Raw genomic sequence first — 27,296 nt, forward strand, 5'->3', positions numbered from 1 at the left:
GTAAGGAAGAGGAAGGGCCTCTTCTCAGCCTGGTAGACAAGCAGTAAGAGTGATGATGGGGCAGCTGCAGTTCATCTCAGACTAGAGGAGCTGCAGGGGCCAGATGGTGGGCAACCTCTGTTGCCACTGCTGAGGAGTGCAGATTTAAGCTCCCCTGAAGGGTTTGACGCAGACAGCTGTGCGGGGACGCTTAACCTGCCTAAGGCCCGTCTTTGGGTAACAGCATGCAGAACAGGTGGGAGGGGCTGGGGCTATTTTTGGCAGAGCGTGGATAAGTCAGTGGAGATAGAAGAGAAGGCACAAGCTATTTTAGGAGATATTGAGGAAGTTAAAATCTGTAACAGGTCCCTGCCTGCAGAGTTGACCACACGTTTGCATCACATGGGTAGGCTTTAAAATATAGATGCCTGCATCTCACCTTGGAAAGTTTCTGATTTAATTAGCCTGGGCATCAGGACTTAGGAAAACCCCACAGATGTGTGTAATTTGCTGCTGGAGTTGAGAACTGGGGTGCGGAGCTGTGCTCCTTAAACTGTAATGTGCTTACAGATCACCTCTGGTAATACTTGTGAGAAAGCGCTTCAGGTGGGCTAGGGAGAGGATCACGGAGGGCTTCCTGGAGAAGGTGACATTCTCCCAGGGCCTTGAGGGGTGAATAGACATTTTCCAGGTTCAGAAAGAAGGAATGGGCTTTCATGGCCAGGTAGAGGATCCAATGAGGCAGACGAGGGGCCCAAATTCTGTGACCCCCTACCCCTACCCCACCCCCAGGATGCCCCTGTATCAGTCCCATGGTGTAACAACCAAATTCACAAGATGCTGCAGAGGGGAAGAGATTTTAAATTTTCTGAGAAAGACAATGATATATTTTGGACACCATGAGAAATACTGTTATTAACTTGTTTTAACCTAGGTACACGCAATCTTCATCATTCAGTGATTCTGTATTTGTGACTTGCCTGCTTACTAAAATGTATTTGTCATCCCCACATCAATATTCCTGGCATTTAATTTTTTTATTTTAAACTTTCATTTTAGGTTCGGGGATACATGTGAAAGTTTGTGACTTAGGTAAACATGTGTCATGAGGTTTTGTTGTACAGATTATTTCATCACTGTGGTATTAAACCCAGGACCCAATAGTTACCCTTTATGTTCTTCTCCTTACCCTCGGCTATTTTGTTCATGCACAGAACGGCAAAAAAATTGAACTTTTTTTTTTTATTTTTTTTGGATGGAGTCTCCCTCTTTCGCCAAGGCTGGAGTGCAGTGGCGTGATCTTGGCTCACTGTAACCTCCGCCTCCTGTGTTCAAGTGATTCTCCTGCCTCAGCCTCCCGAGTAGCTGGGATTACAGGCATGGGATTACAGCCACCACGCCTGGCTAATTTTTGTATTTTTAGTAGAGACGGGGTTTCACCGTGTTGGCCAGGCTGCTCTCAAACTCCTGGCCTCAAGTGATTCACCCGCCTGGGCTTCCCAAAATGCTGGGATTACAGGCGTGAGCCACCACACCTGGCCAGAATTGAGCTTCTCAATAGCACATGTTCTCAGCTGAGGTTCAACAAAGCCAGACCCTGCCTTCTCGGGCCAGCGCGTACTGTCAACAGGGTTCTTTGCAAGGTCTATTTGGTGTCCCGTGTTTTGTGTTTTCGTGCTTTTTGTCAGTGATTTTGCGCTTTCAAATATCCCCAAGTCGGTGCTGACATGCTACCTAGCGTCCCTAAGTACAGGAAAGCTGGCATGGTCTCACGGGGAAAATACACATTTGATGAGCGTCATTTAGGCACGAGTTATAGTGCTGTTGGCTTCGAGATCAATGTGAGTGACTCCACAATGTCTATTCACTGCGGTGTCTTTAAACAGAAACCCACATAAAACGCGCTTAGGTAGTGATTGGTTCATGACCTCTGGGAACGTAGTCCTGTATTTACGTGGGAGCAATAGTTCACTATTCGCTAATTCAGTGTTCGCTGAGACTTTATAAAACGTAACTGCTTTGAATAACAAAGCTGTAATTAACAAACCGAGCTGTTAAGTGTGTGTGTGTGTGTGTGTGTGTGTGTGTGTGTGTGTGTGTGTGTTGGCCTCACATCATTTTACAGAGACACACAGGGCTCTGTGAACTGCTAATAGTTGGGACCGGCGGAGGGGTTATTTCAAGCTAGTCCAAAACTGCAGGGCAGAGACCACTTTGAAAGGAGATCAGCAGTCGGGGAGTGGCTGGGATGAAGTTGGAAAAAGTGCTGAGGCCCCTAAGTCAGTTTCCGGTGTTTCCACGTTAGCCTTGGGGGGTGATCACTCAGTTTCCTGTAGGGATGGGATCTGGGCTGGCATCTGCCTGTGGAAGGGGTGACAGGGACGGAGAGCAGGGAACCCCGAGCAGCCCTGCCTTGCTGTTGTCTGAGCCTCAGAACTCCTGAAGGCGGGGTCCTTCAGCATCACCCTGGAGTTTGTTAAAAATGCAGGCTCATGAGCCTCACCCCAGACCACAGAACGAAAATGTCTGGGGGTGAGACCCAGGATTCCACGTCTCCCCAGGTCCCTCGCAGGGCGATTCTGAGAACTGCCGGTGTGAGGCGTGCTCAGCCCAGCCCAAACATTCACACCATTCTTTGGCCTCTTGTAAAACTTGGCGTAGCTCAGGGGACGTTCCCAGAGTTATGGCACACGAACAAAAGAAAGTTTCCCACTTCTTACCAAACATATTGTAAAATTACAGGAAAGAGCTTGTTCTTTCACGTCTATACCCTTGTGCCGTCGTCCTAGTTAGGATGAAGCCGAGATGTTACCTTGTACCTTAGGCCACCGCAGACAAGGAAGTATATGCAGTTTAACCACCTGCATATAATCTTTTTCTTTTTTCTTTTCTTTCTTTTTTTTTGAGACAAAGTCTCATTCTATCACCCAGGCTAGTGTGCAGTGGCACAGTCTCGGCTCACTGCAACCTCCATCTGCCAAGTTCAAGAGATTCTTGTGCCTCAGCCTCCCAAGTAGCTGGAACTACAGGTACACGCCACCATGCCCAGCTAATTTAGCAGAGATGGGGTTTTGCCTTGTTGGCCAGGCTGGTCTCGAACCCCTGACCTCAGTGATCTGCCTGCCTCAACCTCCCAAAGTGTTGGGATTACAGGAGTGAGCCACCATGCCCTGCCTATTTTTTGGAGGCAGGGTCTCTCTCTGTTGCCCAGGCTGGAGTGCCGTGGTGCAGTGTCAGCTCCCTGCAATCTCAACCTCCACAAGCGCAGGCCATCCTCCCGCCTCAGCCTCCCAAGTAGCTGGGACCATGGGAGTGCGTCACAACACCTGTCTAATTTTTGCATTTTTTGTAGAGACGGGGTTTCATCATGTTGCCCAGGCTGCTGTTGAACTCCTGGGCTCAAGCAATCCTCCCACCTTGGCCTCCCAAAGTGTTGGGATTATAGGCGTGAGCCACTGTACCCGGCCACCTATGTATAATTTTCAAGCTAAGAAGACAGAGAGACGAGTTTAACTATTGCTACAGACATGAAGCCCTTCCCTTTCCATAGTTTGCTAGCAGAGAGTGTTTCCAGGGCCCGGCGGCCACTATCACCCACTGCGTTCATAGCTTTCCATGGGGTGAACAGATTGCGCTGGACTCAGCGGTTAAATCTAAAGTGTAGGATGTTTGGTGAACTCGGAGTTCCTTGCACTTGTCTGTGATCTGGCACATTGTGTTTTCTGTACTCAGATATGCAGTCACTGGCACACATCCTGTTACTGACGGGAAGCTGGACCCAGCACTGGAGTATTTCTGAGACTATGACACTCTGGTGTATTCCTGAAACTATTTATGACACTATTAAGCTCTTTTCTGTAATTTTACAATATGTTTGGTAAGATCTCAGCGCCAGATTTTTTTAAATGATGTGTTTATTTCTTTTAATTGACAAATACACATTGTATGTGTTTATGCGGTTGCACATGGTGTCTTGATGTATGTATCCATGGTGAGATGGATTTAAATATGCATGACCTCACAGACTTTGCAGCACTTTTTTGTGTGTGGTGAGAACACTTATTCAGAATGGGCTCCTTTAGTCGTTTTCAAATATTCAAGCCATTGTTACTAATTGCAGTCGCCATGGTGTCTCTGAGCTTTCCTGAAGTTATTTGTCCTGTCTCATGGACGCTTTGTGCCCTGTGACCGATCGTCTGCCCGGTGTTAAATGACACATCTTGAAAAAGAGGACAATACTTCCAGAGCGATTCGGTTTTATAGCAACAGAAAAGTAAGGGTGTTTTGACCATTTGAATAAAATAGTAAAATGAAATGTATCAGCTGCCTCCTGCTATTCCCACACAGGAGGACTTCCGGTGCTTGCTCCAATGTGGAGGCATTTTCTCTTGCAGCATTCTGAGCTACAATTATCTCTAGGCTGGGGACCCTTCCCGAGGCCCCCCAAACCTGGAATGAAAGTTTTTAGGGTCAGACCATGTGACTGGTTCCACTCGACCTCCAAAACGTTAAAAAGAAAAAAAAAAAAAGAGCCGGGCGCGGTGGCTCACGCCTGTCATCCCAGCACTTTGGGAGGCCGAGGCGGGCGGATCACGAGTTCAGGAGATCGAGACCATCCTGGCTACCACGGTGAAACCCAGTCTCTACTAAAAATACAAAAAAATCAGCCGGGCGTGGTGGTGGGCACCTGTAGTCCCAGCTACTCGGGAGGCTGAGGCAGCAGAATGGTGTGAACCCGGGAGGCATAGCTTGCAGTGAGCCAAAATCGGGCCACCGCACTCCAGCCTGGGTGACACAGAGACACTCTGTCTCAAAAAAAGGAAAAAACAAAAAACAAAAAACGCTTTGCCTTTGCTTGGCATCAGAGGACTCAGCAGCAAGTAAAGAGCACACACGTGCCCTCTGCACCACCTCCTCCTCCTTTTCTACAATGTCCTGAAAGTTTCGTGTTTAGTGGGCTTTGGAAAAGGGTGTGGAAAACCAGCAGGAGCAGATGAGTACTGGAGTGGCCAGCAGCAGGTGTGAACACCCTGGGGTGATGCTGGGGCTGAGTGAATTGGACATTTTTCAGCAGGGACACCCAGGCCAGTGGCGGGTCTTCATCCTCCCACCCTTAATGGAGATGAACGGCATTATTGAGAAAGCTGCAGGCACACACAGAGCACTGCTTAAATGATGTCCCTGGCTGCTGCTGTTACTATGTAATGATTGTGTTATTCTTATGAAAATCTGAAAGTTACAGGAATCTTGGAACTGCCTAATTTTTTTTAATTAATTAATTAATTTATTTCGAGACAGAGTCTCACTCTGTCGCCCAGGCTGGAGTGCAGTGGTGCGATCTCGGCTCACTGCAACCTCCACCTCCCGGGTTCAAGCGATTCTCCTGCCTCAGCCTCCCAAGTAACTGGGACTACGGGCGTGCACCACCACGCCTGGCTCATTTTTAATTTTATGTGAAACACCTGAATGATGTGATGATGGGGTTTAAGATAACCCAAGTGTTCGGGCGCGGCGGCTCACATCTGTAATCCCTGCACTTTGGGAGGCCAAGGCAGGCAGATCACTTGATGCCCGGAGTTTGAGACCAGCCTGGCCAACATGGCGAAACTCCATCTCTACTAAAAACACAAGAATTAGCTGGATGTGGTGGCACATGCCCATAGTCCCAGCTACTGGGGAAGCTGAGGAAGGAGAATCACTTGAACCCAGGAGGTGGAGGTTGCAGTGAGTTGAGATCATGCTACTGTACTCTAGCCTGGGCAACAGAGCAAAACTCTGCCTCAAAAGAAAAGAAAAGAAAAGAAAAAAACAGCAAAAAGAGAACCCAGGTACTGGCTCTCCTCCTGCGTTTGCCCCGGTTGAGTGCATTCCTGCATTAGTGCAAGCCTTAGTCACGTTGCAGAGGAACTCACACACCCCATGTGGCCTCGGGGACTTCACTCTGGGTTCGTCCTGTTTTTTGAGTTGCCTGGCTGATGAGAAAAAGTAAACATGGTTTGAATCAGTAGAAAGTGTCTTGTCAGACTGACTCATGCCATCTGTCGTCCGTTCCGCCTTGCCCTGATGAGCCATTACCCTGTCCCGGAAACATCTGGAGCTTTGAGAGGGCCGGGTGGAAACAGCAGTGGCAGTTGGGGGTTCTGCTGAGGGTCTGGTCTCTTTGCAAATTTGCAGAGAGGCTGAATGCCGTAAACGTGCAACACAGGCACCTGAGTTCTCCACCAGGCTCCTTCTCTGAGGGCATGGTTGCAGCTCTTGCTGGGTGGGTTTTGTTGGTGTTTTCTTCACATTTGTAGCCCCGGAGGTCGTTTTCAGGAGCAAAAAGGCAAGTGGGGGTGTCTGCTGTGAGCCCGCAATTTCCTGCCTACCACCTGAAAGCTCAGGGAATGTGATGAATTGGGAGATGAATCCTAGGCAATAAAGAGAGCAGTGGACTGAGTTAGGAGACGATAGCTTCATTTACAGAGATTCCTTTACTGACTGATGATCATTGATTGGGTTTGCTTCCCCATGAGGCTTCAAGCCAATAGCACGTGCATTTGCATCCATTTATATACACCTGGGGGACTGCCTTCCTCACACACACCTGGGGGACTGCCTCCCTCACACACACCTGGGGAACTGCATCCCTTCACATACATAGGGAACTGTGTCCCTCACACACCTGGAAGATTAGCCTCAGAGGTGTCTGCAGTACCAGATTCCACCAGGGAGTGAACGTCTGATTATGGGTGATTCAGGGTGCCCACGTCTATATGAAATCGAGAGCGGGTCACCTCCCTTTCCTCCCTACTCTCTGTGGGGTGGTGTTTGGGGAGCTGTCTTAAGTGTTAGTCACCCGAGGAGAAAATGGTGAGGGTGGGACTCTGTATCTGGGAGAAAGGAGACCTTGGAGGCAGGGGACAGACTGACAGAGCCTTGAGCGATGGAAGCTGAGGTCGAGGGCCCAAGGTCGATGATAGAATGCTTGGGGTTGTCTCTCCTCTGGTGTCCTTGTCCTTCAGGCATCCTGGAGTGACATTGAAATTGTTTCAATTAAAAACTGTAGAAACAGCACAGAGATAAGAATGGAAGACAAGCTCCAAGTGCGGGGCTGAGGCGAGTTCTCCAAGGACTAGGGCTAAGGGCAGAGGGTGGGAGAAGGGGAGAAGGGCGTGAGGGGCATACTGTGTCCTTTGCCACCCACTCTCAGACTTGTTGTCTTGGACCTCCGTCGGCTGAGCTTGGGGTCCGGGGAGCAGTGGGTTTGGACACTCAGTGGTGACGTCAGCCGTAGTCCTGAAGCAGAGGGGAAGTTGGCAATCCAGGCTTGCCTGGGGGTGACACTGGTGGCGGGAGGGCCTGTGCCCTCCCCTGTAACTGGGTTTGTGTGGGGTCCATGGGGGCATTGGGGTCAGTGGAAGGAACATGAAGTGAGCCAGAGCATCGTCACTGTGGCCTCTGAGGGCAGGTGGAGCAAGAAAAGGAGGAAGCTTCTAAGTGACACCTGGTCCCAGCTCAGTGGCTATGACCAGGGAAGTCATGTGGAGGAAAAGGCTGGTGGACTCTGAGGGTGATGGAGGAGGATGGGAGGGGCAAGCTAGGCTGGGGAGGTGGCAGGCCATGGACACACACCAGACAGACACACATGTGCATGCACACATACACAGGCACATACATGCATGCACACTCATGCCATGCATATATGCATGCATGCACACGTGTGCACCCACACAGCAAGTCACATGTGCACGTGAGCACACATGAAAACACACAAGCACATGCACATACTCCTGCAGTGCACATGCACACCCATATATGCATGCACACAGGTGTGTGCTCAGATAGCACCCTCACACATATGCACACAAGCACACAGGCAAACACGCAGACACATGAACAAATGCACATATATATTCATGCAGTGCACTTGTGCACATATACACATGCAAACAGGTGTGCATTCAGCACACTCACAATGCACATGAAAACACGTGTGCACACACATGCAGTGCAATACATATATGCATGCACATGTGTGCCCACACCATACACCCACACATACGTGCAGGAGCACACACGTGCACACACAGAAACCACATGAATGCATGAGCACGCGTATATGAAATACACATGTACACATGAGCACATCCACACGCGCACATGCATGAACATAGACACACACATGCATGTACATAGACACGCACATGCATGTACATAGACATGCACACGTATACCCAGGCCCTGCATTGGAAAAAATCCAAAATGTGGCTTGGTTGCAAAGAGCACATGAAGAGCTGTTGAATGCAGAGGTGCCCAGCAAGAAGCATGGACCTAAACCCGAAGGTGGTTGGGGGAAGCTTGGGGACACCTGGGTGGGCAAATGGCCCCCCTGAGGCCCAGGGACAGATGCAAAAACCCAGCAAGCCAGGAGGGTCTTTGAAAAAAAAAATGTGTACCACATGTGACATTTCCCATGTGAGGGAAGCATCGAGATCATACTGTGTTTTCCCTGTGCCCTGCGATTTTGCAGCTGACATGCCCTTTCTGTGGAAATATATAGCAGTCCTCATGCTAGGATTGCGTGTTCTGTGTCAGGCAGCTGGGCATGGGAGTGCAGGGTGTGGGGTGGAACCTGGGAGGAGAGTTCTAGTTTTACCACTGTGTTCCGGCCGTGGGGTGTCCTGGGGAATGGAGGCCACCTCCTGACACTGGAGTTTCCTGGGTTCTGCTGTGAGCGAGGAGTGGGAGAAGACAAGACTCTGGTCTTAGAAACCTTCCGAGTCTCGTACGCCCTTGACTGCCGTTTCTGAGTATTTCCTGAAGCTTGGGAAGGATGAGTCACTTTAAGGGGATTGTCCTATGTTGCTTTGTTTTGTTTCTTTAGTGACGGTGTCTATGATCATCTTCTGTTTATGAGGGTGAAATTACAGAAATAAGAAGGGTTACACTTAAAATAATATCTGTACTTTACTTTCACGTGTGGGGTTTTTTTTTGTCATTGCTGCTGCTTTTTTTTCTTTAACATTCTGACAGTTCTGTCTGCTTATTATTAAGTCTTCCTACCTTTCTAAAGAGAATGTCTTTCTTGCTAAAGAATACATTATGGACTCTTGGAATCTCTTTGTTGGGGTGGAGGGGGTGGGGACTTGCCCTGACTTGCTGGGAATGCCCATAGGGTTTAGAAGTCACGTCTACCGCTGAGGCACTAACAAAGGTAAGCCTTCAAGGAAGCACTGTCATTTCCGGGGAAGAGAGTTTTGAGGAAATTGAAACAGTTACGAATTGATCTAGCAGTCCCTCTACTAATGTATCTACATATGAAGATATGTAGAGATGACTTTTTTTTTTTTTTTTTTTTTGAGATGGAGTCTCCCTCTGTCACCCAGGCTGGAGTGCAGTGGCATGATCTCTGCTCACTGCAACCTCTACTTCCCGGATTCAAGCGATTTTCCTGCCTCAGCCTCCTGAGTAGCTGGGATTACATGCGCATATCACCACGCCTGGCCAATTTTTTTGTATTTATAGTAGAGACGGGGTTTCACCATGTTGGTTGGGCTGGTCTCGAACTCCTGACCTCGTGATCCTCTCACCTTGGCCTCCCAAAGTGCTGAGATTACAGGTGTGAGCCACCGCACCCGGCCCCAGAGATGACTTCTAAACCTTCAGGGTATTCCCAGCAAGTCAGGGCAAGTCTATATATATATAATATATATATGTGTATATATATATTTGTATAAATATATAATTCGTATATATAGTATGTATATATAGTATATATAGTATGTATGTATATGGTGTGTATATATGTAGTGTGTGTATACATAGTATGTGTATATACAGTATGTATGTATATAGTATGTGTATATATAGTATGTGTGTGTATTATATATATATATAGTATGTGTATGTGTGTATATATATATATGTTTATTTGGGATAAGGAAAGGAAATCAGTATGTCAAAGAGACACTCCCCTCCCATGTTTATTGCAGCACCATTCGGAGTAGCCAAGACATGCAGTCAATGGAAGAGCCCATCAAGGGATGAATGCAGAAAGAAAATGTGCTATATCAACTCTGTACATTCACTAAAAGCCATTCATTTGCACAGTGAGAATAAGTGCCTTTCATGCTATGTAAACTATGCCTCAATAAAGCTATTAAATGAACAAAGAAAATAGGGTATATTCACAATGGAATGGTATTCAGCTTTAAAAAAGAAGGAGGTTGGCTGGGTGCGGTGGCTCATGCCTGTCATCCTAGCACTTTGGGAGGCTGAGGCAGGTGGATCACCTGAGGTCAGGAGTTCAAGACCAGCCTGGCCAACATGGTGAAACCCCGTCTCTAGTAAAAATACAAAAAATTAGCTGGGCATGATGGGCGGGCGCCTATAGTCCCAGCTACTCAGGAGGCTGAGGCAGGAGAATTGCTTGAACCCAGGAGGCGGAGGTTGTAGTGAGCCAAGATCATCGCACTCCAGCTTGGGCAACAGAGTGAGACTCTGTCTCAAAAAGAAAAAAGAAGGAAGTCCTGCCATTTGCAACAACATGGATGGAACTGGAGGACATGATGTTAAGTGCAGTAAGCCGAGCACAGAAAGACAAATACCGTCTGACCCAAACACGCTTACGTGGAATCTAAAACCACTGAACTCACAGAAGCAGAGTGGAATGGCGGTGACCAAGGGGTTGGGAGTGAGGGGTGGGGGAAATGGGGAAATGATGGGTAAAGGGTACAACATTTCCATCAGATAGGAAGGGATAAGTTCAGGGGTCTACTGTACTCAGGGTGACTGTGGTTAGTAAGAATGCGTTGCATACTTGAAAATGCCTAAGACAGTAGCTTTGAACTGTTTGCACCACAAATAAATAGGCGAGGTAAGATGTAAATAAAGAAAAAAAATACTTCAAAAAATACAATTACAGATTTCTATGGAAACATATGAACATGAGTGCATATATATATTTATATGTGCGTGTGTCTGTACCTGCCTTATGGTTTATTCTGGATCAGTAGGATCCTCCCTTGCTACCGTCTAAAGATCTGCCGCATGCTGCAGGAGGAGCTGTAATTGCATTTATGATGTCTGGCAAGTGTCCTGTTGTGGAAACAGCCATTTCAGGGCTCTGAGGTTGTGGAAACGACTCCACTCTGGTTGCCGGCATGGGGCCCACAGAGCTGTTCCGAGCGTTTTGTCTACTTTCTACTTATTGTTGACACACACAGAAACACACACGCAGCCATGAGTACACACACACACAGACATACAAGCAGACGTGGACACACCTACCTGTATGTACATACTCAAAACACACCTTCACACTATACTCACCTACCCATACACACACGTGCACACAACTACATGTGTGCACACAAACACATGCATACATGCACCTATGCATATGCACACGTGGAAACACACCTGCACACTACACACACCTACACATACACACACAAACCCACAAATGCACACACCCACACAGGCACAAACACACAAATGCACACACCCACACATGCACAAACACACCTACACACATAAACATATTGACACATGCACACATGCACATGAAAAACACATATACACACTACATCCGCCTACACATACACACACAAACCCACATATACATGCACCTACACACATGCACACATAACACCTACACACATGCATACAGAACCCACACATACATGCATCCATAGGCACACAGAAACACACCTACACACTGTGCACACCTACATATGCACACACAAACCCACATGAACATGCACTGACACATATGCACACAAAAAACACACTACACACACAGAAACCCACAAAATACACCTCCACACTTACACAAAACACGCCTACACATATGCACATACACAAACCCACACATACATGCACCTGCCTATATGCACCCACAACACATACACATATGCACACACAGAACTCACCTACACACCCCATACATGCACACAAAACCCACAAATACATACATGTGCACTGCAAATGCCCAAATATACATGCACACTCACACACACATACCCCTGTGACATATGCATGCACGCTTCATTTATACATGCAGGAGCATAGCCTGGTCGTTTGCACCTGTTGTGGAACTGGACACACTTCCGGTGTTCACAGGGCTCCTGCGGGTTGTTCTTGGACCCCTCGCCACCCACCGCCAGGTGCTTCCTGACGGTTGAGAGATGTTGTATGCCTTTGGTGCTGAGGAGTGGGGACGCTGGATGTTGACGATTATCCTAACTCTTCCTCCAGTTGACCAAACAGTCCAAGTCGACTTTTCCAAATTTTCCTGAATTTGGCTTTTCTTCAGTGCGCCAGAGATGGCCAGCCACGTTGAAGTAGCATTGAAATTGTTGTAATTAAAGACTGTAGAAACAGGGTAGCCTATCAATAATTCAGCATGCCAGTTTCCTCATTCCGTGGGATTCCATGAGATTTTTTTTTAATGCATAATGCACGTGTCTTTCTGGGTTGTCTAGTGTTTCTACTATATTTTGGTTTGTAATTACAGGAAAGTTGCCAATAAAAAAGGGAGAATTTTGTTCCCCATGTTGTTTTCAGTACATATTCAAAATTGTTATTCATCTGTTTGAAAGGAACGACCTGTTAAGAATAATACACAAAATGATCGTGTTTTTACACTATTTTAATTTCTACTAAGCTTGAAGGTCATCATTTATTTAAAACCTAGGCTAACATATTCTTACTTTTAGGCATGGAAGTGAATATTTAGAATGAGAAGAGAAATCACGCACCTTGTAAATTTTTTTAAGTTGCTGTTTTAAATATCACAAAAAGAAAAATCGCATATCTTTTTTATCTCTATAATATTCAAATTTATTTTTATTTTTCTTGTTTCTAAGTTGACTCTTTTTTTCTCTCTTAGATGGTGGTTTCGATTTATCCGATGCCCTTCCTGGTGAGTATCAACATCATTTTTTAAAATCCCGTCAATATTTTATGTTAACATAGTATATACAGGCATATCCCAGCCATTTCCAGCTAGGTTCTAGACCACCGCAATAACAGGAGTCATAGCAATTTTTGGCTTCCCAGTACATATAAATGTTATGTTTACTCTCAACTGTAGTCTATTAAGTATGCAATAGCATTACCTCTAAAAACAGTATACTCCAATTGAAAATACCTTATTGCTAAAAAATGCAGATACAGAGACAGGAAGTGGGGCACGTGCTGTTGGAAAAAATGATGCCGAGAGTCTGGCTTGCCACAGGGTTGCTGCAGGCCTTCCGTTTGTAAAACACACAGTATTTGCAAAGCACCTTAAGACAAAGTGCAGTGAAGGAGGTCCGCCTGTATGTGTCCACCTGCCTTATTATAAAAACTAGACTCATAGATGACGAGGAAAAGCAAGATGCCCTTGTTAAGATAAATGAACCACCCTGGTGGAATAATTCACAGTCCTGTGATGGTCAGAGGCCGAGCAAAAACTTGCCAGGTCCTTGGGGAGGGGTCTAGAGGAGGTGAGCAAATGGAGGTCCCCAGGAGAGAGGGGCATCCAGTGCTGGCATCCTCCCTCTCGAAATCGGCACCCGCTGTCTCCATGGGGCCACTCCTTCCTTCTTCTGCAGCTCTTCCTGTCTCCCGCTCCTCACCCAGAGCCCTCGGTGAAGGGCATGGGAAAAGGAATTGAAGGAATTCCGTCTTATCACTCTATCAGCTTCTGGGTCTTGTCATCCCTTTGTATTTGTTTTCCGGGGCTGCCATAAAAAGGTGCCACCAACTGGGGGCTTAAACCACAGGGATTTATCATCTTCCAGACCTGGACAACAGAAGTCTGAGATCAAGGTGTAGACAGACCCATGCTCCCTCTAGGGGCTCTAGGGGAGGGTCCTTCCTGCCTCTTGCGGCTTCCGGGAGCTCCAGGTGTCCCTGGACTTGTGGCCGCATCACTCCAGTCTCTGCCTCCTTCTCCGTGGGGCCTCCTCCTCTGTGTCTGTGTCTCCTTTTCTTTGTCTTACAAGGATACTTGTCATTGGGTTTAGGGCCACTCTACTCCAGGATTATCTAATCTCAAGATCCTTCTCTTAAGCACATCTGCAAAGACCCTATTTCCAAATAAAGTCTCATTACCAGGTTTTAGGCTTTAGGATGTAGATATATCTTTTGCGGGGACCACTGCTCAATCCACTGCAGTTATATCCAGTTCTTTTTGGTGGCTCTAGGGGAGGATCCTTCCTGCTTCTCCCAGCTTTTGAGGGCTTCACGTGTCCCTGTGCTTGTGGCTGCATCACTGTAGGCTCTGCCTTTGTGAACGCTGGTCTCTTCCCTGTGTCTCCATGTATCTAAATTTCCTTCCTATAAGGGCACCAGTCATTAGGACCTATCCTAATCTATTATAACCTCATCTTAACTGATTACAACTGCAAAGACCCTGTTTCCAAGTAAGATCACCTATTGAGGTTTGGGGTGGGTGTGGATCTTGGAGGAATGCTTTTCAACCCAGGACAGCCCTCTTCATTTTTTTTTTTTTTTTTTCCGAGATGGAGTCTCTCTCTGTCACCCAGGCTGGAGTGCAGTGGCACGATCTCGGCTCACTGCAACCTCTGCCTCCCGGGTTCAAGTGATTCTCCTGCCTCTGCCTCCCGAGTAACTGGGATTACAGGCATGCACCACCATGCCTAGCTAGTTTTTGTATTTTCAGTACAGACGGGGTTTCATAATGTTGGTCAGGCTGGTTTCGAACTCCTGACCTTGTGATCTGCCCGCCTTGGCCTCCCAAAGTGCTGGGATGACAGGCATGAGCCACTGAGCCCAGCCACCCTCTTCACTTTTTTATGTTTTACTTTTTTTTTTCTGAGACACTGTCTCGCTGTGTTGCTCAGGTTGGAGTGCAGTGTTGGGATCTTGGCTCACTGCAGCCTTGACCGTCTGGGCTCAAGCAGTCCTCCCACCTCAGCCTGCTGAGTAGCTGGGACTACAGGCATGTGCCACCTCACCTGGTACAGTGAGCAACACGGGGTCTCACTGTGTTGCTCAGATTGGAGTGCCACGGTGGGATCTTGTCTCACTACAGCCTTGACCATGTGGGTTCGAGCAATCCTCCCACCTCAGCCTCCCAAAGTGCTGAGGCGTGAGAGGATTGCAGACACGAGCCACTGCACCTCGCCAGCTTTTAATTTTATGTCCTGTGGTGCAGTGCAGATGGTTTGAGCGGAAACAGTGCTGATGGGGATCATCTCTTTCCTGACCACCTACCCCTTCTTGGCCCTTGGGAACAACCATTCCCTGCAGTGGGAGGTGCCCTTAGTCTTACAGCCTCCACCTGATTTGCCTGATTGGCTTCCATTCTCAGAGGGGGCAGCCTAGGCAGAGGCCTGACGGGGCCAAAAGTGTGTTTCATATGAGAAATGTGAACAGCCTTTCAGCCATCAATCCGGTGTCTCTCCTTCTCATGCATAGATCTCGGGCTCTGAAAAGGGCAGTTTTTCTCCTAACTTTGCCATTCTCCTGCCTTCCTGGCTTATGTCTCAGTCATAGTCCCATTCAACGTCAAGAAGTGGAGAAGGGCTGGGCACGGTGGCTCAAGCCTGTCATCCCAGCACTTTGGGAGGACGAGGTGGGTGGATCACCTGAGGTCAGGAGTTCGAGACCAACCTGGCCAACGTGGTGAAACCCCATCTCTGCTAAAAATACAAAAAATTAGCCGGGAGTGATGGCATGCACCTGTAAGCCCAGCTACTCGGGAGGCTGAGGCAGGAGAATCGCTTGAACCCAGGAGGCAGAGGTTGTGGTGAACGGAGACCACACCATTGCACTCCAGCTTGGGTAACAGAGCAAGACTTGGTCTCAAAAAAAAAAAAAAAAGAAGTGGAGAAGGGGCTCCTGGTCTCTGTGGAAACCATGGCCGGTAGCAGCCTCTGTGTCTGTCTTCTGGGCTCAAGAGTCGTTGTATAAACCTCAGCTCGGTGTGGGCAGGTGAGAAAAAACAATGCTAAAAACATTCTCCGACTGTTTCCAAGAAAATGAAACATCCTTAACCACAAAAGAGTTGACACTTGTTTTCCCAGCTGCAACTTTTACTAACTGAAATATCTTATCTCTTTAGACAATGAAAACAAGAAACCCACTGCAATCCCCAAGAAACCCAGTGCTGGTGAGAAGGGCTTCTTCCTAGTATGCAAAGAAAAAGAGCAAATCATTTTCTCGGACAGCAGGACGGGACTTAGGCAACTAGAAAGAAGACAGAAGTGATTTGAGTGCTCCGGCTGGAGTCTGGTTAATAGTTAATACTGGAATTGTGTTATGATGTTACATTTCATGTAGTGATTCCAGTAAAAGAATGGTTGCTGATGTGAAATGTTTCGGGGCCATTTGGACAACATCTCTGTGTGCTTTTATTCTAAGGGTCTGAGTTACTCTGTCTTTAGATTTTCTTCCCTTTTTTTTTTTTTTTTTTTTTGAGATGGCGTTTCATTCTTGTCTCCCAGGCTGGAGTGCAGTGGTGTGATCTTGGCTCACTGCAACCTCCACCTCCCGGGTTCAGTGATTCTCCTGCCTCAGATGCCTCAGTAGCTGGGACTGCAGGCACCAGCCACCACACCTGGTTAATTGTTGTATTTTTAGTCGAGACGAGGTTTCACTATGTCGGCCAGGCTGGTCTTGAACTCCTGACTTCAGGCAATCTGCCTCCCAAAGTGCTGGGATTACAGCGGTGAGCCACCATGCACGGCCTGTGTCTTTAGATTTCAACTTCCTAGGAGAGAGAGCATTTGGTGCTGAGATCTCCCCCATGATGACCAACAAGTGAACTCATCTCTCAACCTGTGGGCACACACCTCATTTGTTCTCAGTGCTTGCTGTTCTTTCTTTCTTTTTTTTTTTTTTTTTGAGACGGAGTCTCGCTCTGTCGCCCAGGCTGGAGTGCAGTGGCGCAATCTCGGCTCACTGCAAGCTCCGCTTCCTGGGTTCACACCATTCTTCTGCCTCAGCCTCCCAAGTAGCTGGGACTACAGGCAGCGGCCACCACGCCCAGCTAATTTTTTTGTATTTTTAGTAGAGACGGGGTTTCACCATGTTAGCCAGGATGGTCTCGATCTCCTGACCTTGTGATCCACGCGCCTTGGCCTCCCAAAGTGCTGGGATTACGGGCATGAGCCACCACACCCAGCCCTCAATGCTGTTCTTTCAAACAAAAGTCAGAAACGAGGTCCACGTGATGGAATTGCCCAAGGGTCAACCCCACTGGCGGATAAACAGAGTAAAAATGATGCTAAAACTTATGGCATCAGTGTCTTACAGCTAAGACACTGTCTTGTCTTAGCACTTCTGAGTTTTCTAATATAAAACATTAATAGCTCCACTTCATTATTGGGCTTCCTGTCTAGAGTGTCAGCTCATGAGCAAAGGGACCCTGTGTCCCCAGATCCTTGAACTAAGCAATCATGCAGATAGCACCAATGAGTAGGTGTTGAGCGTCTGAATTTATACTATCATAGTCTCCTTGAGGAAGGGACTGGAAATTCCCATATGTCACTCAGGATGGCTCAGTACATGCTGTTGGGTGGATGCCAGCAACCATTCCTCCATCTTAGTTGGGTTTTCAAAATCATTCTTCATACTAGAAGACAAGATCTGAGGCCATGGTGAACTGTCACATCAGTTGCGGAGCACATATGGGTTGCTAGAGCCATGTTTTAGACACCCTCTAGCCTAAATCTGATCACAGTCATCTGTCCCCTTCTCTTAGGGTCTACCTTTCCAAAGTTGTTAGGGACCTGGGAGGAGAGGATGATGGGATGGGGAGTCAACAGGAGAAAATCATGTGCAGGCAGAATTGGAATTTCAACTTGGTCCAGGCAACACAATTCATTTATAAATTACTTTATTTCTCTCTCTCTCTCCCCACTGCCTCTCCTCTGAGAGCTTCTCTCCTAGCTTTTTATCTGTCTCTGTCTCTCTGTTTTTTCCTCTTTTTATCTGAGAGAATAGTGATGTAAAAATGGTCAGGAATTCACTTTTTCTAATGAGATCCTGGTCAAGCTGATATTCAGAAAAGTATTTAGGAATGTGGGGCCGTGGTGTGTTTTTGATCTGTTCACGAGGTCATTCCTTCCTCGTTTCTCTCTGGAATTTGGTATTAACTGCTCTTTCCCCTCTTTTAGGGGATGACTTTGACTTAGGAGATGCTGTTGTTGATGGAGAAAATGGTGAGTATTTTCCTTTAATCTCTTCTGCTGCTGATCTGCTTATTATCACCCAATTATGATCATTTCAGAGAGAATTCTCCCATTTAAATTATAAAGGGAACCAGTTTTCACAGTGGAAACCTAGGGAATAGGTGTGTCGGTTTGTTCTTGCTGTTGTCGTTGGGTTTTTCTTTACAACCAGTACGTGTGCTTTTATTTTAAAACTCTTACAGTCTTTGGAAGGACATGAGACAAATGTGCCTACCCTGGCCAGGGCTGGCTTCACCAGCATGTGACCTGTGCAGTGGCACAGGACCCCATGGCATGTTGGTTTGGCATGGGAACCATACTGGTTTACTGCTCTGTTGCCGCCATCTTGGAATACTTAAGAAAATTTGAAAAATGGGTCCCACCTTTTTATTTTGGCCCTAGAAATTCTGTAGCTGGTGTGGACACCCGCTTTAATTTTTATTAAACATAGTTGACATTAAGAACTGTGGCTGAAAGTTGATGGGAGGAAACTGGCAGGAGACTGTGTGTGTACAGGTATCCCCACCAGGACAAAGGCCAAGGTCCAATTTCTGTTCAGGGAACCATCTGTGTGTAAACTGATGTTTCATTTTCTTTACTGCAAGGCACTTAAAATTGCAACTCTCATCTTTCACAAACAGACGACCCACGACCACCGAACCCACCCAAACCGATGCCAAATCCAAACCCCAACCACCCTAGTTCCTCCGGTAAGAGTCTCTGACCCTGTGGGATGTCTTCATGTTGTTCAGAATTCAGCGATATTTATGTCAGCTGAGAGGAGGTGATTTCAGATGAGTGTGTGCTTACTGTTGACTGCCTGTGCAGTGTAATGCCCATGTTCATGTAATGGAAAATGTACATTTCAAAAATATATATTTAGCTTGGATTTTATTTTTAGTTTGCTTTTTTTTTTTTTTTTTTTTTTGAGACAGAGTCTTGTTCTGTCACCCAGGCTGGAGTGCAGTGGTGCCATCTTGGCTCACTGCAACCTCCACCTACTGGGTTCAAGTGATTCTCCTGCATCAGCCTCCTGAGTAGCTGGAATTACAGGCACACACTGCCATGCCCGGCTAATTTTTGTATTTTTAGTAGAGACAGGGTTTTGCCATGTTGGCCAGGCTGGTCTTGAACTCCTGACCTCAAGTGATCCACCCACCTTGGCCTCCCAAAAGTGCTGGGATGACAGGTGTGAGCCACTGTGCCTGGACTAGTTTGCTACTTTTGTTTCCAAGTTCCATCTTATGGAACTTCTAAAAAATTGCATACAATAATTTAAATGTAGACTTGATAAAGAGAAAAGTATTGGCATACACATTCCTTGTGGAGAAGCTAGTGTGTTTTAAATCTTTCTGCCCTTAAATATTTAAGTCAGTTTTTCTGACATATCACAGCATTTTCAGCGTAATTCGAATAGCACCAGTTTTTTTTTTTTAGCTGAATGGTTGTCGAAAGTTTATATGTTTAGGTTTTTTTGTTTACATATTTAATTTTTAACACAGAAGAATATTAATGATGTCCATATCTTGTTGACATTTTGATGGCTATTTGTGCTAGTATTTTATATATCTTTTTTTTTTCTTTTTTGAGACAGGGTCTCACTCTGTTGTCCAGGCTAGAGTACAGTGCTGTGATCATATTAAACATAAGAGCATACCACAGCCTCCAACTCCTGGGCTAGAGAGATCCCCCTGCCTCAGCCTTTCAAGTAGCTGGGGCTACAGGCACACAGCATCGTGACCAGTTAGTTTTTTCATTTTTTGTAGAGGTGGGGTCTCAGTATGTTGCCCAGGCTGGTCTGAAACTCCTGGCCTCAAGCAGTCCTCTTGCCTCAGCATCCCAAATCTCTGAGATTACAGGCACGAGTCACCTCACCCAGCCTATATATTAATCTAAATGAAATAAATTTTAAATAAAGTTCCAAGTCTTTTGTTTGTACTGCATTGTAACATTACTTTTTGCTTACTGATAGTCCATGAACATTTTTTCATGTCATGTAATCATTTCTATCGTATGAGTTTTACTGATAATCATGTACTATTACATACTACATATATAATTATATTCTTCCTGTAACTAATCCCTAATTCTGAAAATGTTATGTTTCTTCTGGCATTTTAGAATTATGAATTAACAAAGCAAATCTGAGTCAACTCCATGCGCTATTTTTATTCCTTTGAAGACATTTCTAGCATTCAAATAGTTTAGATCAACGTATATGAGTACTTTCGTAGCTTTTGACCTGGTTGTTAATTTGCTGCAGATTTTTACCAATTTATTTTGATGCCAGGGGTGTGTGCAAATGTCCCTGTCTTCACACCATCTCCAATATTAGTTATCACCTAGGAAACCTTTGCAAATAGTGTGAAATTTTCTATCAACTTTCTCCTGGTTTCATGACTTTACTTTTAAAATTAAAAAAAAAAAACAAACCTGCATCAATTGGCCGTGGATACTTCTTATTTTGTGTATTGTATGCTTTGCCTTTTATTCTTACATTCTGATATGACATTATTGATTTATAAGCCTTCTTCATTTATTTACAGACATAAATATTGCCAGCATGCAATATTATGCTCACGTTTTTCCACTTTATTTATGGTTTTTTGTTTTGTTTTGTTTTGAGACTGAGTTTAGCTCTTCTTGCCCAGGCTGGAGTGCAGTGGTGCCATCTTGGCTCACTGCAACCTCCACCTCCAGGGTTCAAGTGATTCTCCTGCCTCAGCCTCCCGAGTAGCTGGGATTACATGTGCCTGTCACCACATCCAGCTAATTTTTATATTCTTAGTGGAGATGGGGTTTCACCATGTTGATGAACAGGCCGGTTTTCATGAGTTTTTCCTTTATTCTAAGACATGAAGACCCTTGGAGGAGTTCCAGGTTGACAGGTGATGCTGTATTTTCTTTCCTAGGTAGCTTTTCAGATGCTGACCTTGCGGATGGCGTTTCAGGTGGAGAAGGTACAGTTATCTTGTTTTCTGTCTCTTTTCTCTCTCCATCCCATGATGCCCACCTGCTCTGTAGAATCACTACAGGGTCTAAACTGTCAGCTCTCTGTGAACTCACAGTGAAATGTTCAGCCATCTCTGTGGGAACTCCGCCTGTTTGCTGAGGCTTCAAGGATGTGGGAAGTAAAGGCTGCCCCGTAGAGGTTCGGTCCTCGGAGAAGAGTTCAGGGCCCAGGCAGCTGCCCCACTTTTCTGAGGGACAGGGCGTGATGAATGGGCCCTTGTCACCACCTCCTCACCCATCCGTTCACCTGTGTGTTCTTGCAAATAACTAGTGTTGTTTCAGCTTCATTTTATTAGGCTGTTTTCTGTAATTTAAGGAATGTGAATATTAAAGCCCTGAGAATAGTGATAATGCCTGGGAGTATGCGTTCTCAGAGTACCCCTAGAGTGTAACAGGCAGCACCTCAGCTCTGTAGCTGTGTAACATGCACCCTTAGAGTGTAATAGGCAGGACCCCAGCTCTGTAGCTGGGTAACATGTACCCCCGTAGAGTGTAAGAAGCAGGACCCCAGCCTCTTCACGGTCCTGGCTGTGAATTTTTCCTTGACCCCAAACCTTCCCATTGCAGACGTTGTTTTTGTCTTGCAGGAAAAGGAGGCAGTGATGGTGGAGGCAGCCACAGGAAAGAAGGGGAAGAGGGTAGGTGCACCTGGCTTCTGTCTTCTTGTCTCTCCCACGTGGTGTTGAGAAGGGGAAGCAGAATGTCTGAGAGCTGGCGGACTGCACTGGCATTGGCCTCCTAAAGCTACTGGCAGGAGGCACGGGTGTTCTGTGCCAAGTGCTCCCAAGTGATGTAGCTGCAGAGGTCCCCCAGCAAACCAGCCCTGCTCCGGGTGCCCACGTGACGCGGATTTTATGTTTGGTCACCTGCCCACGATGCCCTGGCTGGCGACCCGACCCCTACATCACGCTTCGCCTTGTCCTTGTGTTTACAAAAGCTCCTACACTCACCCTAACGATCAGAGGCTTGTGACGCAGTATCCTCGGTTGCGCTTGGCCCTTGAGAACGTCAGTAACCAGGTGGGAGGTGGGAATGTGGATCGCTTCCACCCTGGCTGTAACAGGCATTGTGTTCTCCATGGAAGTGCCGGTGATGTATCTCCTGTCTCCTTTTTCATAACCTTTTCCCTTAGATGGGACAAGAAAATAATGACAGACAGAATTCCTTTTAAAACTGTAAAGAAAACAAAATGAGGTAAGAAAGAGAAACAGAGAAGTAGGGAGGAAGAAAAAAGGGAAGGAGGGAAGGAAAGAAGGAAGGAGGGATGGAGAGAAGGAAGGAAGGAGGGAAGAAGGGAAGGAAGGAAGGGAGGAAAAGTGGGTAGTCTACCCTTGTTTTAGGTATTTATTATTTTTATGGGTACAGTTCTTGAATTCTAGGCTTTCTTTGAAGAGGTAGTAATCTGTAGCCCTCACCTAGGACTACAAGGTCATTTTTTAAAAAATAGCTAAGAAAACACATGTCTGGCATGTTTATCTCAGGCCATCGTTCTTGGCCTTCTAGAGAGTTAATGTCTACTATGTCACTTCATCAGGGAGGGGTAGTTAAGCTTGAAAAATCTTTCTATGACATGACTGTGTCCTGCACATATTAAAAACTGGCCGAGTGAACACACCACCGACAGGCCATGTTTGGAGCCAGTGTTTTTGCTGAAAGTCAGACAATTCTCCTTCCCCGTCGTGGAGGGCGGAGAAGATTCTATCTGGAGAAGGGTCCTCTGAAGCTCACATCTGGCATTTGGAATGAATAATCTCTTCAATGGCCAGGCACGCTGGCTCATGCCTGTCATCCCAGAACTCTGGGAGGCTGAGGCGGGAGGATTGCTTGAGGCCAAGAGTTCGAAACCAGCCTGGCCAACATGGTGAAACCCCTTTTCTACAAAAAATACAAAAATTAGGCCAGGTGTGGTGGCTCACACCTGTAATCCTAGCACTTCGGGAGGCCAAGGTGGGTGGATCACTTGAGGTCAGGAGTTCGAGACCAGCCTGGCCAAGATGGTGAAACCCCATCTCTACAAAAAATACAAAAATTAGCTGGGCGTGTGCCATGCACCTGTAGTCCTAGCTACTCGGGAGGCACAAGAATTGCTTGAACCCGGGAAGCAGAGGCTGCAGTGAGCTGAAATCGTGCCACTGCACTCCAGCCTGGGTGACAAAGTAAGACTGCATTTCAAAAAAAAAAAAAAACTAGCCAGGGGTGGTGGCACACACCTGTAATCCCAGCTACTTGGGAGGCTGAGGCAGGAGAATAGCTTGAACCCGGGACGCAGAGGTTGCAGTGAGCCGAGATCGCACCACTGCACTCCAGCCTGGGCAACAGAGCAAGACTCTGTCTCCCCGCCAAAAAAAAAAGAATTATTGCTGGAATAACATAAAAAAAAAAAAAAAGGCTGAGTGTGGTGGCTCATGCGTGTAATCCCAGCATTTTGGGAGGCCTAGGCAGCAGGCAGGTTGCTTTAGGCTGGGAGTTCGAGATCAGACTGGGCAACATAGCAAGACCCCAATTCTATAAAACCACAGTAATTAACCAGGCATGGTGGTGCACACCTGTAGTCCCAGCTACTCGGAAGGCTGAAGTGGGAGGATCTCATGAGCCCAGGAGTTTGAGATTGCAGTGAGCTGTGATTACATCATTGCACTCCAGCCTGTTTGACAGAGCAAGAACCCATCTCAAAATAATACACAATAATAATAATTAATTAAATAGAGATAGATTTAAAATGTCTGCATTGAAACCCAAAGCTATCTTCAAGGGGTGAAAAAGGAGCATTCTAACGATACAAAACGCATTGGCAAATGCCCCAAGCATTGCAGGTCTTTGCTTCTTTATCTTCTGCCCCTGCCTGGGCTCCTTCCTCCAGGTTTGATGTCCAGCTCTCTCTTTCTTTTTTGTTTTGTTTTGTTTTGAGATGGTGAATTGCTCTGTCGCCCAGGCTGGAGTGCAGCGGCACAATCTCGGCTCACTGCAACCTCTGCCTCCCAGGTTCAAGCGATTCTCTGGACTCAGCCTCCTGAGTAGCTGGGATTAAAGGCACCCACCCTTACTCCCGGCTAATTTTTGTATTTTTCGTAGAGACGGGTTTTACCATGTTGACCAGGCTGGTCTCAAACTCCTGACCTCAGGCGATTCACCTGCCTCGGCCTCCCAAAGTGCTGGGATTACAGGCGTGAGCCACCACGCCCAGCCCCAGCTCTCTTTCCATCTGTCTTTGTCTTTTTTTGTCTCTGCCTTGGTTCTGCTGAGCTTCTGCCCGTACCTCGCTGGCCTCTCTTCATGTCTCTTTTCTCCTGCTCCACTCCCTCCATGGTCTGACCAGGTCTGCCCAGCACGTGCGATGGGAGATTGTGCCTTGCTTTGCCTTCCTGTGTATCATTCTCGGCATGCTTCCTTTGCAAATCGGTCAGCTCAGGCGTCTGAGATGTTCTGAGGATCTTGGTGCTCTCAGACTGACTGTCTCTGCCAGCCACTGCCCCCTGGGATCTTCTCTGCACCGTGCGTGTCTCAATCACGATGCTGTGTGCTTCCTCCTGCAGCCGACGCCCCAGGCGTGATCCCCGGGATTGTGGGGGCTGTCGTGGTCGCCGTGGCTGGAGCCATCTCTAGCTTCATTGCTTACCAGAAAAAGAAGCTATGCTTCAAAGAAAATGGTAAGTCTCAGTCCGCCGGTGCCTCTCCTTCATGCCTTGCTGATTGGAAAACTGTGCTTTCTTTAAAAGGCAGAAACCAAACTCGGGCTGGCACGAAACAGGTGCACGATGGCTGATGGTTCGTGAAACTGCTAAAATTCTGGAATCGAACCTTCTGGCTTTGATTTCAGGGCTGTTCTGCCTTGTGTTTTGTTGTGTGAAAGTTTACAAGTTCCCCACTGCTGCAGTGCTTGGGTTGTTTACGTCTACCAAGTGGGAAATGGTTGGTACATATGCCGCGGAATTGTTGCTGGGGTTAGAGACAGTCCTGCAGGAAAGCCGCTACAAGTTACCCTGCAGAGAGCAAAGGTGGAAGACACTTAGCTCTGATCATTCCTGCCCTGTTATTTACAACCGATGTCATCATCAGGAGGAGAGCCGTGACCAGGGGGCCGCCACGGTCCTTTCTCCACTGAGAGTTAAGTTAAAAGCCGGCACAAGGCCGGACATGGTGGCTCACACCTGTAATCCCAGCACTTTGGGAGGCCGAGACGGGCGGATCACGAGGTCAGGAGGAGATCGAGACCATCCTGGGTAACATGGTGAAACCCCGTCTCTACTAAAAATACAAAAAATTAGCCGGGCATGGTGGCGGGCGTCTGTAGTCCCAGCTACTCGGAAGGCTGAGGCAGGAGAATGGTGTGAACCTGGGAGGCAGAGCTTGCAGTGAGCTGAGATCATGTGACTGCACTCCAGCCTGGGCGACAGAGTGAGACTCCGTCTCAAAAAACAAAACAAAACAAAAACCAGCACAGCGGATTCCCTTTCTGTTAGTACCGAAAACCCACAGGCACCCAGGACCTGGGAAGTTTCTTGGATCGGGACTAAAATTTACAGGGGAATTAGGAGGAGGACGTACTCACCATTGCAATCCTCCTAGGTCAGCTGGCAGGCTCTTTGGGACCTTGTATTGGGATCCGCCGTGAAGCTGGGAAGTAAGCCCTGCTATTTGGAACACAGCTAACGTGCATGCATCACTGGGCACTTACATTTAGCTCTTGCCTTCCCTCTTGCATGACCAAGCATTGTGGTTTGCAGGAATCCCATCGACCGGGAACAGCTACTCTTATTTTTTATTTCTTGAGACAGAGTTTCGCTCTGTTGCCCAGGCTGGAGTGCAGTGGCGCAATCTCAGCTCACTGCAGTCTCCACCCCACAGGTTCAAGTGATTCTCCTGCCTCAGCCTCCTGAGTAGCTGGGATTATAGGCACCCGCCACCACGCCCGGCTAATTTCTGTATTTTTAGTAGAGATGGGGTCTCACCATGTTGGCCAGGCTGGTCTCCAACTCCTCACCTCAAGTGATCCACCCGCCTCGGCCTCCCAAAGTCTTGGGATTACAGGCGTGAGGCACCACACCTGGCCAACAGCTACTGTTTTATGGAGGAGCCCCTGGGGTCCCTCACGCCTCTGGGTGTCTGAACTTCTCACCCTACTTAGATCTTAAGTCCTTATTCATTCTTGGTCACTGATGTCATTCACTCAAAGCACTGCCTCCTGAAGATTTTAGAGGGATTCCTAGAACATTTGAATAGATGCTGGTGTGGACAAAGTTAGACTGTAGGGGTGGAGTTTCCCCGTAATCTCCCATCATTCCAGCATTTGACATCCACAAACATTATTTAGAGCGTGAAATGGAGAGTCCTAAACAGCTTTCGGATCTCAAGACTTTAAATGAGCTGCTCGTGTTTATTTCCCCGTTCTTGCTGTGGGGTTTTGGGCAGTGCGTGGAAGACAGTTGCCTCCTACCTGGTGGGCAGACGAGTGGGAAATGGTGTTTGGTTGTTTCTTTTTTTTTTTTTTTTTTTTTTGAGATGGAGTCTCACTCTGTCACCCAGGCTGGAATGCAATGGCTCCATCTTGGCTCACTGCAACCTCCACCTCCCGGGTTCTCCTGCCTCAGCCTCCCGAGTAGCTGGGATTACAGATGTGCACCACCACGCACAGCTAATTTTTGTTTTTTTAGTAGAGATGGAGTTTCGTCATGTTGGTCAGGCTGGTCTCGAACTCCTGACCTTGGATGATCCGCCTGCCTTGACCTCCCAAAGTGTTGGGATTGCAGGCGTGAGCCACCGTGCCCAGCTGGTGTTTGGTTGATTGAATGGCAGTTTTGAGCGGGACCCAAATGGACAGATGACCACATTCAAGGAGATGCCTGTAAGAGACGTACGATTAGAATCACGTTGGAAAAAAGCAAACAGCATAACATTCTTCTCCCCTCTTGCTTCTTCTAGAAGTAGCGGAGGGGTTAAAACAGTAGGGACTCAATGGAAGGGAATTTTTGTTTGCTTTTCAATGACATTTCTTTTTCTTTTCTGAAACTGTTCAACTCACAGCATAATATTCAACCAGGAGGTAAGGAAGGCTTGTTTGCCAGGACAGGATGCGTAATATTCTAGATGTTGTATTTCAAACTCTCTGGCTTTTTTTTTTTTTTTTTTTTGAGACGGAGT

General features: G+C 47.0%; 1 protein-coding gene across 7 annotated transcripts in view; it reads left to right on the top strand.

The window, feature by feature from the left end:
* Positions 1-27,296, top strand: part of CD99 (CD99 molecule (Xg blood group)) — a 50,015-nt gene that overhangs the window by 10,274 nt on the left and 12,445 nt on the right. For 4 of the 7 annotated variants that reach the window (NR_135623.2, NM_002414.5, NM_001321368.2 and 1 more), the window contains exons 2-8: positions 12,854-12,886; positions 16,037-16,084; positions 18,093-18,137; positions 18,788-18,856; positions 21,059-21,106; positions 21,746-21,796; positions 24,692-24,805. Coding sequence is in view for 6 of the 7 variants with exons in the window: in NM_002414.5 (NP_002405.1) it covers positions 12,854-12,886; positions 16,037-16,084; positions 18,093-18,137; positions 18,788-18,856; positions 21,059-21,106; positions 21,746-21,796; positions 24,692-24,805 (408 nt within the window). In the remaining variant the exon portion in view is untranslated. The remainder of the gene's footprint in view (positions 1-12,853; positions 12,887-16,036; positions 16,085-18,092; positions 18,138-18,787; positions 18,857-21,058; positions 21,107-21,745; positions 21,797-24,691; positions 24,806-27,296) is intronic. The other 3 variants (NM_001122898.3, NM_001321369.2, NM_001321370.2) reach the window with 2 other exon arrangements.

The sequence above is a fragment of the Homo sapiens genome, chromosome X (assembly GCF_000001405.40).
Source record: "Homo sapiens chromosome X, GRCh38.p14 Primary Assembly".
Taxonomy (NCBI): domain Eukaryota; kingdom Metazoa; phylum Chordata; class Mammalia; order Primates; family Hominidae; genus Homo; species Homo sapiens.